This window comes from Homo sapiens, chromosome 18 (genome assembly GCF_000001405.40).
Source record: "Homo sapiens chromosome 18, GRCh38.p14 Primary Assembly".
Taxonomy (NCBI): Eukaryota; Metazoa; Chordata; class Mammalia; order Primates; family Hominidae; genus Homo; species Homo sapiens.
This window is the reverse complement of record NC_000018.10, coordinates 29,219,250-29,237,103: the sequence shown is the minus strand read 5'-3', so window position 1 is coordinate 29,237,103 and position 17,854 is coordinate 29,219,250. Positions and strand designations below refer to the sequence as shown.

General features: G+C 34.8%; 1 long non-coding RNA gene across 2 annotated transcripts in view; it reads left to right on the top strand.

Annotated features, from left to right (window-relative positions):
• The window catches only part of LOC105372044 (uncharacterized), a 74,947-nt gene that overhangs the window by 18,238 nt on the left and 38,855 nt on the right, over nt 1-17,854 (top strand). For both annotated transcript variants that reach the window (XR_935327.3, XR_935328.2), the window contains exons 2-3: nt 379-512; nt 2,151-2,227. This is a non-coding gene — a long non-coding RNA (uncharacterized LOC105372044). The remainder of the gene's footprint in view (nt 1-378; nt 513-2,150; nt 2,228-17,854) is intronic.

The window sequence follows — 17,854 nt, the reverse complement described above, 5'->3', positions numbered from 1 at the left end:
ATCAACAAGACAAATAAAACTACAGTCTTTTTAGCAAAATAATATAAGAAAAGACTTAGAAACTTAAGAATGAATAATGGAGGCATTAAATATCTGGTAGATAAAACAACTCCAGGAAAAAATTACCTTCAAGCAGAAAAAACTCAACAAAGCAGGGTCATGCAGTTTGACATATTTATTGCATTAATGGCACTAAGAATGACCTGTCTCTTTCCATGATCTTTGCTTTCTACCTTTGTGGTCACCTCCCATTCTGGCTCTGAGCTTAGCTGTATGATGTTCTTTAACCAATCAGATGTTTAAAATATATTGGCAAAGGTTCGATAAAAAGTCTTGCATACATTTCTAATTGCTCTATTACCCTCTTGCTTCTGCTAGGAAAACAAGCTTATGTTACTATAGAAGAATGAGAGATCACCTGGGCAAATATAAGACATTTTAGATGATCCATAATAGAATTACTAACCTCCAGTCTGTCTGCCAGCTCCACAAAGACACAAGAGCAAACCCAGGTAAGATTACTTCAACCTGGCCCACATAGCGAAACTAAGTTGCTGACCCAGGGATGTGTTTTAAAGCGCTAAGTTTTGAAATGGTTTGTTATATTGTATTCTTGTTGGAATAAAGGACTAATGTAATCACCGTGAAAAAGAAATGCAAAATCTCAGAGAAGAGATTATGAAATAAAAGCAAGTTGTGGAATAGAAAGAAAATAAATTGGAAAATAAATGACAAAAATTATTTCATAAAAAAGACAATTTCAAGGTGCACAAAGAAGATTATATATGACAAAAAACATAATAAGAGAAATGTAGAATAGCTATGAGAAAATAAAACAGGGAAATAAACAGAAGAGATCTAAAAAAATGGAAGAGAGAAAATTATGGAAATGGTAGAAAGGTGTAGGATCTTAATTCTTAGTTCTGGAATCTAAAAAATAATATTTTAAAAATATTTTCAAATTGCTTTTATGTTTGTGGGTTCTCTATATTTTCCAGGTGTGATTTTTTAAAGTATTGGGCTTTCTGATTATGAAGCTTTATATCCCTCATAAATTCTAGGGAAAATATCATTTACTGCATCTATAAATATTGCCGTCACCTATTGATGCAGGGTTTTTTGCTCCTTAGTTCAGCTAAATCGGAGTTCTTGTCTCACAACCAGGGAAAATTAGGTATGTGGACACATTGGAGGGTGAAGAGGACATAATTTATTAAGTGAAAGGAAAGCTCTCAGCAAAGAGAGGGGTCCTGCATCCAGGTTACCACCTCACAATTGAAGTACCAGGACTTCCACGCAGGGGCTGAAGAGCCAGGCTCCTTCCCAGCAAAAGACACAAATTCCTGGTGGCTACACCCTGTTCCCCCAGGGTACATGTGGGCCCTTAGTCTGAGCCACTCCACATTAATTTATTTCCCTTACTGTGCATGTGTTAAGGCACAGAATTGTTCACCATGGGCATGCTTAGGCGAGCCCTCTGTGCAAAATGACTTGGGTGGGTGAGAGGCTCTCCAGGGACCCTTCCCTATATGCCTAGACATTTGGCTGTCGCCTGCCTCTATCATTATAATTTCTTTATTTCTGGAACTCATCTTGCATATGTGACAGACATTCTCATTTTGTCCCTCATGACTTACATTTCCCTTATATTTTCTATCTCTTTCTTCCCTGTACTGTAATTTCTTCATATATTCTTTCCACTCCACTAAGTTTTTTTTTTCTCTTCAGCTATTTCAGAACCTCTTTTAAAAATACTCATAGATTACTGGGAAATGGCAGAGTAGGGACCGGCAAAAGACCATCCACCATAGAAACAATGTCAAACTGGCCAAAACTTACTACGACTCAAAGATTGAGAACAATTAAGTGAATTCTTAGTCAAGGAAGAGGTAATGAAACATGGTAGGAGAGAGTTCTGTGTCATTTTAACCTCCCCCTTTCTCATTACCCCCTTCAGTTTCATTGGTGGTTTTGAAGAGCACAGTCATGTTCCTTCTGTGGGTCCCTGACTGCAAAGGGACCCCAGCAGACTTTGTTTTTAAAGAATTGTGGTTGTCATCTTTGACTAGTCTGGGCCTTCCTGAAGGACTAACACAAAAATCTTGCCTTTATTTTGCATAACTGGGAATTCTTTCATGGTGAACAATCAGAAATTCTGAGAACCTTCCTTGAAATCATTGAACAGCAAATGAACAAGCTGTTGCCAACCTGGGGTAGAAGACAGCAGGTGAGTCAAACAGCACATATGCTGAAAGAAAGCTGGGGACAGTAAGACTTTGGGGAATTCAGGCTTTGAAAATCTCCCATGTATACCAGGGAATATAGGTTGCCTGCATGCCCTGAGTGGCAAACATGCTCAGAAAAGCCCTGAGAAGTCATTTATTTCTGCATTTTTTCTTCTTTTTTTTAAACAATTTTCACTATTTTTAAATGTATGGATTAGTAGTGTTAAGTACAGTGGGCCCTCTGTATCCACATGTTGCACATCCACAGATTCAATCAACCACAGATTGAACATATTAGAGAAAAAAGACAAAAATAGCAATCCACTACTCAGAAGGCTGAGGCATAAGGATTCACTTGAACCCAGAAGTTTGAGACCAGCCTGAGCAACATAGTAAGACCCCATCTCCAAAAAGGCAATACAACAATAAAAAATACAAATAAAATAATATAATAACCATTTACATAACATTTGCATTGTATTAAGCATTATAAGTAATCAAGCGATGATTTAAAGTATAGAAGGGGATGTGTGTATGTGTGTGTGTGCGTGTGTGTGTGAGAGAGAGTTATATGCAAATACTACCCCATTTTACATCAGGGACAAGTATCCATGAATTTTGATTTCTGCTGGGGTTCCTGGAACAAGATATCAAGGGGCAGCTATACATTCTCATTGTGCAACCAATCTCCAGACTCTTTTTGTCTTGCAGAATTGAAACTATATCCCCATTAAACCACTTACCATTTCTCTCTTCTTTCCAGCTCCTGGCAACAACCATTTTACTTTTGTTTCTGTGGTTTCTACTACTTTAGTACCTCATAAAAGTGGAATCATACAGTGTTTGCTATTTCAGACTAGCTGCTTTCATTTTGCATAATGTCCTCAAGATCCATTCACATTTTAACATATGTCAGAATTTTCTTCTAAGACTGAGTAATATTTCATTGCATGTATATGCCACATGTTGTTTATCTGTTCATCCACTGATGGACATTTGTTTGCTTCCACCTCTTTGTTATCGAGACTAATACTGTTATGATCATGAGTGTGTACATATCTCTTTGAGATGCTGCTTTCAATTCTTTTACATACACAATCAGAGGTGGGATTGCTGGATCATATGGTAATCCCATTTTTAAATTTTTGAGGAACCCTCATACAGTTTCCACAGCAGTTGCGTGATTTTACATTCTAACAGGGTTACAATTTTTCCACATCCTTAGAAATATCTGCTTTTCTCTCTTTTTGTCTTTTGTTGATAGTAGCCATTCTAAGAGGGAGATAATGTCTCATTGTAGTTTTGATTTGCATTTCTCTAATGATTAGTATTGCTGAACATCTTTTCATATGCTTGTTGATCATTTGTATATCATCTTTGGAGAAATGTTTATTCACTCCCCTTTTCCATGCTTTAATTGTTTTGTTTCTTCTGCTGTTGTTGTTTTGTACAAGTTATTTATATACTCTGGATATTAATCCTTTATCAGATAATGCTTTGCAAATATTTTCTCCCTTTCCACAGGTTGCCTTTTCACTTTGTTGGTAGTGTCCTCATTGTACAAAAGAGTTTTATTTGGATAAAATCCCTTGTTCACTATTCTTTTCATGGCTCATGTTTTTGGTATCATATCCAAAGAATCTTCGCCAAATCCAATGCCATGAAAGATTTCCCCTATGTTTTCTCATAGGAGTTTTTATAGCTTTGGATTTACATTAAGTTTTTAATCCACTTTGATTTAACTTTTGTATATGGTATAAGATAAGGATCCAACTTTATTCTTTTGCATATGGATATCCAGTTTTCTCAACAGGACTTATTGTAGAGACTGTCCTTTCCTTCATTGAGTGGACTTGGGGCCCTTATAAAAAATCATTTGACTATATAGGTGATGATTTATTTCTGAGGTCTATATTCCATTCCATTGGCTCATATGTCTGTCTTTATGACAGGACTGCACTATTTTGTTTACTGCAGCTTTGTAATATAATTTGAAATCAGAAACTGTGAGTCCTCTGGCTATTCTTTTCCAAAATTATTTTGGCTATTTGGGTAACCTTGAGATTCTGTATTATGCTTAGCATGGATTTTTATATTTCAGCAAAAATAATTCCACTGAAATTTTGGTAAGGAAGACATTTAATCTGTAGATCACTTTGGGAAGTATTGATATTTTAATAATATTACATCTTCAATCTCCCTAAACATGGGCTATCTTTTCATTTGCTGTGTTTTCTTTAATTTCTTTCAGCAAAGTTTTCTAGTTTTCAGTGTATAAGTCTTTCACCATTTTTGTTAAATTTTTTCCCAAGTATTTTATTCCTTTTGATGCTAATGTAAATGGAATCATCTTCTTAATTTCTTTTTTCAGGCTGTTCACTGTTAGTTTATAGAAATGCAACTGATTTTTGTGGGTTGATTTTGTGTGCTGCCACTTTGCTGAATTTGTTTATTAGTTCTAAGGTGTTTTTTTGAATTGTAAATATTTCTACATATAAGATCATACCACCTGTGAATGGAGATAATTTTATTTCTTCCTCTTAAACTTGCATTCTTTTCACTTATTTTTCTTGCCTGATTCCTCTGGCTAGGACTTTCAGTGCTATGTTGAGTAAAAGTGGTGAGAGAGGATATTCTTTCTCCTGTTCCCTAATTAGGAGGAAAAACTTTCAGACTTTCTCCATTGAGTATGAAGTTAGCAGTGAGCTTTTTATATATGACCTTCATTAAGTTGATGTAGTCTCTTTCTATTCCTTATTGATTGAGTGCTTTTATCATGAAAAGGTATGCAATTTTAAAAAATATTTTCTCATCAATTGAGATGATCATGTGGTTTTTGTTTTTCATTGTTAACATGACATATTACATTCATTGATTTTGTATGTTGAACTATCCTTGCCTTCCAGGGATAAATTCTACTTAGTCATGGTATATAATCCTTTTAGTGTTGTGTTGAATTTGGTTTGGCTGTATTTTGTTGAGGATTTTTACATCAATATTAATCAAGGATATTGGTTTGTAGTTCTCTTTTTGTGTAATATCTTTCCCTGGCTTAGTATCAGAGTGATACTAACCTCATAGAATAAATTGGAAAGTGTTTTCTCCTTTTTAATTTTTACAAGAGTTTGAGAAGGATTAGTGTTAATTCTTTTTTAAATGTTTTGTAGAATTCTACAATGCAGCCATATGATCTTGCGTTTCTCTCTTTTGGGAGGATTTTGATTATAATTTTATTTCCTTACTAGTTACAGGTCCATTTTTCTACTTTCTTCATTCAGTCTTGGAAGGTTGTGTGTTTCTAGAAATTCATCCATACCTTCTAATTTATCCAAGTTGTTGGTACATAGTTGTTTATAATAGTCTTATAATCATTTACATTCCTGTGGCATCATTTGAAATGTCCCATTTTTATTTCCAGCGTGAGTTATTTGAGTCTTCTTTTTTTCTCTTAGTCTAGCTAAAAATTTTTCAATTTTGTTGATTTTTAAAAAATCATAGTTTTGTTTATGTTTTCTATTATTTTTCTATAATCTATTATATTTCTATTTTATCTAATTTTTTTTCTACTGCAAGCTTTGGTTTTAGATTTTCTTTCTTTTATTAGCTTCTTGATGTTTATAACTAGGTTGTTGGTTTCAGGTTTTTTTTAAGTGTAAGTGTTTATAGCTATAAATGTCCCTCTTAGCACTTTCACTGTAACCAGTGAGTTTTGCTATGTTGCATTTTTATTTTTTAAATTTTCCTTATAATTTCTTCTTTGACTTATTAGTCATTTAAGAGAGTGTTGTTTAACTTTCTCATGTTTGTGGATTGCTCAATTTTCCTTCCATTATTGATTTCTAGTTTCATTCTTATTCTGTAGCAAAGGATACCTTGTATAACTTTAAACTTTTTTAACCTAGTAAAACCTCTTTTGTGGCCTAACATATGATTTATCCTGGAAAATGCTTCATGTGAACTTGAGAAGAGTGTATATTTTGCGGTGTTGGGTATAGTGTTCTGTATATGTCTGTTATGTCCAATGTGTCTAAAGTGTTGTTCAAGTCCTCTGTTTCTTTATTGATCATATGTTCATTTGTTCAATCCACTGTTGAAAGTGGGAAATTAAAGTCTCCCACTCTAGTTTTGTGTCTATTTCTCCCTTTAATTCTGTCAATGATTGCTTCACATATTTGGGAGCTCTAATGTTAGGTACATATATATTTCTGCAATGATGAACCACATAACGACGTTTTGGTGAACAATGAACTGCATATACAATGGTGGCCCCATAAGATTATAATACTGTATTTTTTGCCATATATTTTCTGTGTTCAGATACACAAATACTTACCATTGTGTTATAATTACCTACAGTATTCAGCACAGTAGCATATTGTATATGTCTGTAGCCTCAGAACAATAAGCCATATAGCACATAACCTAGATGTGCAGTAGTCTATATCATCTAAGTTTATGGAACTGTACTCTGTGATATTTGTACAATGACGAAATTGCCCAGTGATGCATTTCTCAGAACATATTATTGTCATTAAGGAATGGGTGACTATAATTGTTTTATCTTCCTGGTGAACTGACCCTTTTATTGCTATATAATATCATTTGTCTTTTGTGACAGTTTTGACTTAAAGCAGATATTAGCAGAATGGGTTTTTTAAGAATTATGATTTAGCTCTATGTCAGCTAAAATAGACTAACATTATATTCAAAGACACAAATTAGTTGAAAGTTAAAAAATGGAAAAATATTCCATATAAATATTCCATAAAATATTCCATATGAAAGAGAGATGAAGTGGTCATAATAATATCAGACAAAATAATCTTCAAGTAAAAACCATTACAAGAGAAAATGAAGGACATTATACAATAATAAAGGGGTCAATTCACTAGAAAGGTATAACAATTATAAATGTATATGCACCTAACATTAGAGCTCCCAAATATATGAAGCAAACATTGACAGAATTGAAAAGAGAAATGGACAGCAACACAGTAGTAGTAGGAGACTTCAATTCCCCACTTATAATAATAGGTAGGAAAACAGGACATAAGATCAATAAGAAAACAGATGACTTGAACAAGACTATACATTGATTGGACCTAACAGACATATGCAAAACATTTTATATAACAATAGGATAATACATATTTTTTTCAAGCACACGTGGAACATGTTCTAGAAGTGACCACATGTTAAGCCACAAAATAAGCCTCAGTAAAGTTAAGAAGACTAAAATAATGTAAGTTATCTTCTCTAATTACAATGAAATGAAACTAGAAATCAATATCAGAAGGAAAATTAGGAAATTCACAAATACATGAAAAATAAAACATTTTTAAATAACTAATAGATCAAATATCAATCACAGTAGAAAATAGAAAATAACTTAAAAGAAACTAAAAAGAAATGCAAACTAAATGCAAAGCTGGTAGAAGGAAAGAAATAATAAAGATTAGTAAGAAGTAAATTAACTAGAAAACAGAAAACAATAGAGAAAATAAATAAAAACAAAAGAAGTTGGTTCTTTGAAAATGTTATTAAAATTGACAAGTCTTTATCCATTGACTAAGTAAAAGAAAAAAAATAAAACTACTTAATCAGAAATAAAAGTGGAACAGGCCGGGTGCTGTGTCTCACGCCTGTAACCCCAGTACTTTGGGAGGCCGAGGTGGGCAGATCGAGACCAGCCTGGCCAACATGGTGAAACCCTGTCACTACTAAAAATACAAAAAAATTAGCTGGGCGTGGTGGCATGCACCTGTAGTCCCAGCTACTCGGGAGGCTGAGGAACAAGAATTACCTGAACCAGGTGGCAGGGGTTGCAGTGAGCCAAGATCATGTCACTGCCTTCCAGCCCGGGTGACAGAGTGAGACTCTGTCTCAACCAAAAAATAAAATAAAAGTGGAACAATACAATAAACCCTATAAAATGAAATAAATGTTAAGAGAATACTATGAACAATTTTATTCTAACAAATTGGTTAACCTGGGTGAAATACACAAAGCTTTAGAAACACACAAATTCACATAGCTAACTCAAGAAGAAATGTTTAAAAATCTAAATAGAACTATAGCAAGTAAAGACATTGAATCAGTAATCAAATGCCTTCCAACAAAGAAAAATCTGGGACCAGAAAACTTCACTACTGAATTCTACTAAATATTTAAAGTATAATTAACACCAATTCTTCTCAAATTCTTAAAAGAAAATGGAGAAGGAAATATTTTCTGCTTCACTGGTACAGAGTTTCTTTTTGTGATGATGAAAGAGATATCTGGAACAACCTTGTAAATGTATTTGTTGCCACTGAATTGTACACATTGAATTAGTTGAAATAGTAAACTTTATGTTCTATGTATCTTACCATAATTAGAAATACCATTAGAGCTTTAAATTCTAAATTTTTATATTTTTTATTTCTAAAATTTATATTTGAACATTTTTTCAACTGTGAATAATCAATTTTATATAGTCTTTTTATTTTCCATATTTTGGATTCCTTACTTTATTTTTTCCAATATTAAACACACATTTAAAAAATTTTTACATATAATTCCTATACCTAAAATCTTTTAAATTTGGTTTGGTAGTGTATTACATCAACTATTATTTATAATGCCTTGCTTCTTCATTTGCTTTGTGATTGTTTTTATTGTGAATTCATATTTTCAGAAAAAACTCTGCATTTCTGGGAAATCTATGTGACTAATACTGAAAGTTTCTTCCTTCAGAGAGTATTTGCATATGTTTCTCTTTGGTACCTAGAACGTGTGTAATGCATGATAACTTCATGGGATGATTTTAAGCCATATTCTTCTTCTTGGGGCTTTTGGACCACACAGGTAACATGAAATCGGGCCACAAAACCATGTGAGCACAGCTCGTGGTTATGAATTCTGAAATCCAAAGCTACAACAGATAAGTTTTCAAACAATCTGTCTTTGCAGATGATTATTTTTCTGTTTTATTTATATTTCCAGGTTCACTCTTTCCCTAAGATAGTTACCCTTATATCCCAGCTTTATTTGTGGTCCCTGATCTGATCTTTCACTTTGTGTGGGCCCTATGCACACATATGTTATTAAAATCAAAGCTCTATATTAAGGGCTGTACAAGTTTTCCCAGGAAAGTGAGGGACTTTCACTTGTTACTGTAGATTTATGCTTTCAATTTACTTTCTGCCTCTAAAGATCACTTTTATTTATTGCTAGCTCAGACATGAATTTTTAAATCTTTTAAAAATTGTATACAATTTGTTTGGCATTTTAGCAGTAGGAAGATTTGGAATATCCATTTTGCTGAGTGCTAGAGATCATATACTCTTATATTGTTTTTGTTCAGAGATAGAGAAAAAACTCATGAACTAACAGTTTTCATTCTCCAAATTAGCCTGATGATGAAACAAATCCACCAACTATCCTTGTCAATCTGTGTGTGGTGATTATTAGTGCTTTCAACAAATATTTCCAGCTCTTTAATTTTACACCCAAGTCTAAACTGAAATGTATGAGATAGGTCCCAATCAGTTTGGAAGTTTATTTTGTCAAGGTTAAGGACATGTCCATAACACAGCTTCAGAAGGTCCTGAGAACATGTGTGCAAAGTGGTCATAAGACATCAGTCAATACATGTAATATGTAAAATGGTTTGGAAGATGGGACAACTCAAAGGAGAGTGGTCACACAGGGAAGCTGTCAGGTCATAGGTGGATTCAAAAATTTCCTGATTGGCAATTGGTTGAAAGAGTTTATCTAAAGACTTGAAACCAGCAGAGGAAGTGTCTGTGTTAGGATAAAGCGTTGTTGTGGAGTTCAAAGTTTTAATTATGCAGTTGAAACCTCCAGTTAGCAGGCTTCGGAGAAAATAGATTGTAAATGTTTCTTATCAGACTTAAAAAGTTGCCACACTCTTAGTTCTCTCCTGGATCAGGACAAAGACCCAGAAAGGGAAGGGAAAATCTACAGAATTTGCAGGGCTTTTCAGGGCCATTTCAAAGTATGTAAAATAAATATATTTTGGGGTAAAACACTTTATTTTAGGGCCTGCCATCTGTCATATTATCTTATTTCTACAAAGAGTCTGCTTTGTCAGTCTTAAGGTCTCTATTTTAATGTTAAATACTGGTCAGCCTAGCCTGAATTTCAAAGGGAGGAGGGAATAATGAGATTTGCCCAACCCCAACTTTCCATCATGGCCTGAACTAGTTTTTCAGGTTAACTTAGGAATGAACTTGCCCAAGAGTAGAGGTGGGTTTGGTGGTGGGGGGGCTTAGAATTTTATTTTTGGTTTATACAGGGTAGAATTGCTTTCCATCAACTTGAAGTTACAGTTAGCCATGTAGCTTTATTTGGCTGTTGAAATGTGAGTAAAGGTGAAGTGTGGCAATTCTGTCCAGAAAAATTAAGAGACAATGAGTAATTCAATGCATATCACTCCTAATGTTGCACAAGTCCCACACAGGTCGAGATAAGGCCTTTGTTGGTTTGCCTCCCAGAGGGATTGACCAGGGGCAACCAACCCCACCCACCTGATTGTTGATCTGCATTGGAAGTGCAGGTGGTAAAAGAAAGTTTCCTTGAGTCACTGAGATTTGGCTTAGTTGTTTGTTATCATAGCATAACTTAGCCTGGATGTACTACTGGCCATACTGTCAAATACTATTAGTTTTTAAGCTCAGTCTAGTTCCCACTACTTCATGATGTCTTTCTTAATATTGCTGATAAAATAACCACTCTTTCTACTACACTAATAAGCATAACAATAAAAATGACTAATTGAGTTTATTACTAGTTATTGTGTTATGCTTTTTACTCACATTAACTAACATAGTATTAGCATAGAATTATGAAGATGATTTATTATCTCTTTATCGTATCTGAGGAAAATAGGCTTAAAAAATTAAGGAGCAACCACAATTGGTCATGGGACCTTCACCCTGTATGACTGAGATTATAATTATTGGTGTATATAGATATGTGTGTGTGTGTGTGTGTGTGTTATTCTGACTAAAATTAGGACATCTATTAACTCCATATCCACTGACCCCAGGCTAGCAGTGGACTGCCAATGGTAGGTGCTCAATTTTTAAAATATTTTCAATAATTACTAAAAAATAAAAGAATAATTTAAAAATAAAAGAAAATACAAATAAAACAACAAATGTTGTTATGCTTACCATTCAGGTGAACTCTTAATAGAGAGTTTTGAGTTTTCTTCTTCTATTTTTTCCTTTTTTTTTTTTTTTTAAACAGACAGGATCTTTCTTTGTTGTGTAGTCTGGAGTGCAGTGGTGAAATCATAACTCACTGTAACCTCAAACTCCTTGGCTCAAGTGATCCTCCCACCTCAGTCTTCCAAACAGCTGGGACTACACATGCACACCACAATGCCCAGATAAAATTTAAATTTATTTTTGTAGAAACAGGTTGTCACTATGTTGCCCAGGCTGGTAATTTTTCTATGCACATAATTTGTAGATTGCTGACTCAATATTTTTATGCAAATTAATAACTAAATTTTATATTTTAATTAATATAGTAAGTACCTCTCTATGCCCTTAATATATATTTCAATGACATTAATTCAATTACATAAGTAAAGTAAGTTATTTTGTTTCCCAAGATTGATGTCATTGATTTTATTTATTCTTTAATCGAAAAATACTGAGCTCCTTTTACAAGGAGTGCCAGGCACTCTTGTAAATACTGGATACACAAGGGAAAAAAGGTGTCACTGTAATGAAATTGGTTTTCTAGTGGGTGGAAACAGATAATCAATATATAATCAATATATGACCTAATATAAATTATATGAAGAAAAATAAAGTGAAATAAAAATATGGAGAACTATGGTTCATTCTATGTTTTTGAAAGGGCAGAGATGCATTTTTAATGAGGTAATGTTTGAGGGGAGGGCTGAATGAGGTGAGGGGTTAAGCCATCTGGTTATTTGAGGAAAGAGTATTCTAGACAGATGGAACAGCAAGTAAAGACCTGAAGCCAGGGCTTAGCATGCTCCGGGAGCACCAAGGACTCAGGAACCCAGTGAATAAGGAGGAGATCATTAAGGATCAGATAAAAAAAGGAGCAAGGACCCATATCTTTTTGGCTGCAATAGTATTTGAATTTTACTTTGGTTTGTAAGGAAGTGATTCGAGTATTTTGAGCATGAAAATGATATGATGAAATATGTGTTTTTAAAATAATTCTCTGGTTTCTCTATGGAGAATATATCGGGGGAGGGGGAATCAATAGTGTAAGCAGGATTACCAGCTAGATCATTGGTCCCCGACCGTTTTAGAGCCAGGGACTGGTTTCGAGGAAGACAATTTTTCCAGCGACAGGGCAGGGGGTATGGTTTCAGGATGATTCAAGTACATTACATTTATTGTGCACTTTATTTCTATTATTATTACACTGTAATATATAATGCAATAATTATACAACTCTATAATGTAGAATTCTATAATGTAGAGTCAGTGGGAGACCTGAGCTTGTTTTCCTGCAACTAGATGGTCTCACCTTGGGGTGATGGGAGACAGTGGCGGATCAACTGGCATTAGATTCTCATAAGGAGCACACAACCTAAATCTCTCGTATGTGCAGTTCACAATAGGTTCCTGCTCCTAGGAGAATCTAATGCTGCTGATGATCGGACAGGAGAAAGAGCTCAGGTGGTAATGTGAGGGATGGGGCATGGTTGTAAATACAGATGAAGCTTCACTTGCTTACCTGCTGTGCAACCCAATTCCTAATAGGCCACGGACCAGTACCAGTACATGACCTGGGGGTTGGGGCACTGGGGGTACTAGTCTGTGGCCTGAGGGTTGGGGATCCCTGAGCTGGAGAGTTTCAAGGTTCTAGCAGGAGAAGATGGTGGCTAGGAGCAGAGTGGTAGTGGTTTAAATGGTAAAATATACATGGTCTGATTGTTTGGGATATATTTTGAAGGCAAGGTCAGTATGAGTCCCAAATTACATGTCAGGCATAAGAGAAACAAGACTTCCTCTAGCCTTTGGTTGTCTTTGATTTGTAATATACAATAAGGTTTTCAATGCATCTATAATAATAACTATCTTGTGAATAATTATCTATATTTTAAAAATATGTCCTCTTTCTATAGAACATCTCCCTAGAAGAGGAATTATCTGTCATTAGGAAATTTTTAGCAAATCACTTATAAGACCATTGGCACACAATTGCTTTTCTGGCAGTATTTCTTTGGTAACATTTACTTTTTGTTCTTTATTTACTTGTTTGGATATACTTTCTTTTTCTTGACCAGTTTAGATATTAACTCATAAGTTTTTCCATTTAATTGAGATATTTCACATTTTTTAAACTGTAAATTAGAAACCTATTTTCATCTAGTGTATTATCTGCATTGACATTTGTGGTTATAGTTCATTTGTTGTTCCTAAATTTTCTATCCTTTCTTTGACTTGATTAGAGCTTCCCTCCACCTTTGTTTTCACTAAATCTTCTAAATATATTAACTATTAATCATTATTTTATGTATGTCCTGTAAACTACTTTTCCAAATTTATCTTGAAGTTATTTTTCTAACTTTTTAAGTTATATGTTTTATTCATTATTCATTCATTCTCATTTGTATGCATGTGAATATGGATGTGCAAACACTTGTGTATATCACTAAACTGTGGCTTTGCAAATATTACAATTTCAAACACATTTAAAACTGGTTCACATGTAATTTTCAGGTTTTCTCTTCTTTTCAAATTATATGTACTTGTTTTTGATTTCCTCATTGATTCATTCATTTACAATAATATTTTAAAATTTCCAAATAGTAATGTTGTTTTGTAATTTTTTTTATAACCTAGGGGTTTTACTGTAAATTCAGAGATGAGGCTTATACAGTTTCATAGGTATATTCTCTGTGTCAGTCTTATCTATTTAATATTAAATTATCCAAACACCCTGTTAGCCATAGTGATCTAAGTCTAGCGATAAATATATACAAACCCTAATTCTCCATCAAATATTAACTGCTACTTCTACCCCATAACTCAATGGCTATGAAGAACACTTTCGGCAAACGACAACGGCTTACTTTGGACACACATCTTGATCTCTCAGATGGCAAATATTCTTGGTATTCATTTTATTTATGAAAAGTCTTATTACAATTATTAGGGAAAAAAAACCTTAATTTCTCTCTCTCATGCTCATGATTTCTTAGTTCTCCAGGTTGGATACATGCTGGCCTTAATATATGGAGAAAGAAGCAGGAGAAATGGGAAACAGTTTTTCCCAATAAATGGAATTGTCTTTGCTTTACTATGCGTCGAATAAGATCAAAAAGAAAAGAAGTCAAGATTTTGTGACCTAAGAGTTTTCCATGTGGAAAATGTCACCATTTTGCTTTTTCCAGTGAAGGTTTTATTACCCAGGGCCAAACTAAGTAATTTGTCCTTGATCTGAATCAGAAATTCCCATTCACAACAGTATAGTGGCAACCTTAATGGTTGTCTTTGTTTATGCTTCTGTAACATACCACAAACGGGGTAAATAATTGAAACAACAGAAATTTATTTTTGACATCTCTGAATGTTGGAAGTTCAAGATCAAGGTGCCAGGATCTAGTGAGGGCCTTTTTGCTGATCCACATGGCAGAAGGCAGAAATGTAGGCTACCAAACACTGCATGAAGTCTCTTTCATAACCCTAATCTCATTCATGAAGTAGGAGATCATGTGGCCTTCTTAAAGGCCTCACCTCTCAATATTGTCATATTGGCAATACCTGAATTTTGGAGGGGACACATTCAAACCATAGCAATGGAGATCATGAAAAATAGAAAGCTTTGAACTTCTATATGCTTTTTTTTTTTGTGATAGGAACACCTCCCCAAGTTTAATTCTTTGCCTCTCCCTTTTCTTGCAAAATCTCTGTTTCATAGAGTGGCATTTCACCACAGTATTCTGAAAGGGCACTATCTAATAACTTACAATATCACCAGAAAGGGTGCCAGATGGTGTTATCTATTAACATATTTTAGAAGGTAGCTGCTTGTTGAATATTTCCACTCTAGAAAGAACAGTTATTATACAAGATTATCCTAAGTGGTATTACTCTTGGGATGAGGCCCAGCAGTGGTGGGTATCTGTTTTGTATTCCTACCAACTCTTGGAGGAGTCTCTGTTACTTTGGAGGAGACAACCATTCCTAGACACTGTCCTGTGGCTATGTTGTATTTCTGCTTCATGTGTCCATTCACTCCCTGGGCTACAACATGATCATCTCTCCTTCAGTGAAAGGAATAACTACTTATGCCTGCAAGACTATTGAAAGGATTTCCAAAACATATGGTATTTGAACTGACTTTTTATAGGATGAATTGTAGCTCGCTATATGGCAAAGAGCAAGGGAAGAATTTTCAGGCTATAAAAAAATCAACAAAGTTGAATTCAGAACTGGATATTTTCATATCCAAGCCAACTATGTAATGCTGTCTCTCGAATGCTGAGATTACATGATTTTTTTAAAATTATACTTTAACTTCTAGGGTACATGTGCACAACGTGCAGGTTTGTTACATATGTATACATGTGCCATGTTGGTGTGCTGCACCCATTAAGTCGTCATTTACATTAGGTATATCTCCTAATGCTTTCCCTTCCCCATCCCCCCACCCCACAACAGGCCCCAGTGTTATGTTCCCCTTCCTGTGTCCAAGTGTTCTCATTGTTCAGTTCCCACCTATGAGTGAAAACATACAGTGTTTGGTATTTTGTTCTTCAGATAGTTTGCTGAGAATGATGGTTTCCAGCTTCATCCATGTCCCTACAAAGGACATGAACTCATCCTTTTTTATGGCTGCATAGAATTCCATGGTGTATATGTGCCACATTTTCTTAATCCAGTCTATCCTTGATGGACATTTGGGTTGGTTCCAAGTCTTTGCTATTGTGAATAGTGCCACAATAAACATATGTGTGCATATGCCTTTATAGCAGCATGATTTGTAATCCTTTGGTTATATACCCAGTAATGGGATGGCTGGGTCAAATGGTATTTCTAGTTCTAGATCCTTGAGGAATCGCCGCATTGTCTTCCACAATGGTTGCACTAGTTTACAGTCCCACCAACAGTGTAAAAGTGTTCCTATTTCTCCACATCCTCTCCAGCACCTGTTGTTTCCTGACTTTTTAATGATCGCCATTCTAACTGGTGTGAGATGGTATCTCATTGTGGTTTCGATTTGCATTTCTCTGATGGCCAGTGATGATGAGCATTTTTTCATGTGTCTGTTGGCTGCAAAAATGTCTTCTTTTGAGAAGTATCTGTTCATATCCTTCACCCACTTTTTGATGTAGTTGTTTTTTTCTTGTAAATTTGTTTGAGTTCACTGTAGATTCTGGATATTAGCCCTTTGTCAGATGACTAGGTTGCAAAAATTTTCTCCCATTCTCTAGGTTGCCTGTTCACTCTGATCGTAGTTTGCCATTGCTTTTGGTGTTTTAGACATGAAGTCCTTGCCCATGCCTATGTCCTGAATGGTATTGCTTAGGTTTTCTTCTAGGGTTTTTATCATTTTAGGTGTAACATTTAAGTCTTTAATCCATCTTGAATTAGTTTTTGTATAAGGTGTAAGGAAGGGATCCAGTTTCAGCTTCCTAAATATGGCTAGCCAGTTTTCCCAGCACCATTTATTAAATAGGGAATCCTTTCCCCATTTCTTTTTTTGTCAGGTTTGTCAAAGATCAGATGGTTGTAGATGTGTGGTATTATTTCTGAGAGCTCTGTTCTGTTCCATTGGTCTATATCTCTGTTTTAGTACCAGTACCATGCTGTTTTGGTTACTGTAGCCTTGTAGTATAGTTTGAAGTCAGGTAGTGTGATGCCTCCAGCTTTGTTCTTTTGGCTCAGGATTGTCTTGGTGATGCAGGCTCTTTTTTGGTTCTATATGAACTTTTAAGTAGTTTTTTCCAATTCTGTGAAGAAAGTCATTGGTAGCTTGATGGGGATGGCATTGAATCTATAAATTACCTTGGGCAGTATGGGCATTTTCACGATATTGATTCTTCCTATCCATGAGCATGGAATGTTCTTTCATTTGTTTGTATCCTCTTTTATTTCCTTGAGCAGTGGTTTGTAGTTCTCCTTGAAGAGGTCCTTCACATCCCTTGTAAGTTGGATTCCTAGGTATTTTATTCTCTTTGAAGCAATTGTGAATGGGAGTTCACTCATGATTTGGCTCTCTGTCTGTTATTGGTGTATAAGAATGCTTGTGATTTTAGCACATTGATTTTGTATCCTGAGACTTTGCTGAAGTTGCTTATCAGCTTAAGGAGATTTTGGGCTGAGATGATGGGGTTTTCTAAATATACAATCATGTCATCTGCAAACAGGGACAATTTGACTTCTTCTTTTCCGAATTGAATACCCTTTATTTCTTTCTCCTGCCTGACTGCCCTGGCCAGAACTTCCAACACTATGTTGAACAGGAGTGGTGAGAGAGGGCATCCCTGTCTTGTGCCAGTTTTCAAAGGGAATGCTTCCAGATTTTGCCCATTCAGTATGATATTGGCTGTGGGTTTGTCATAAATAGCTCTTATTATTTTGAGATACGTCCCATCAATACCTAATTTATTGAGAGTTTTT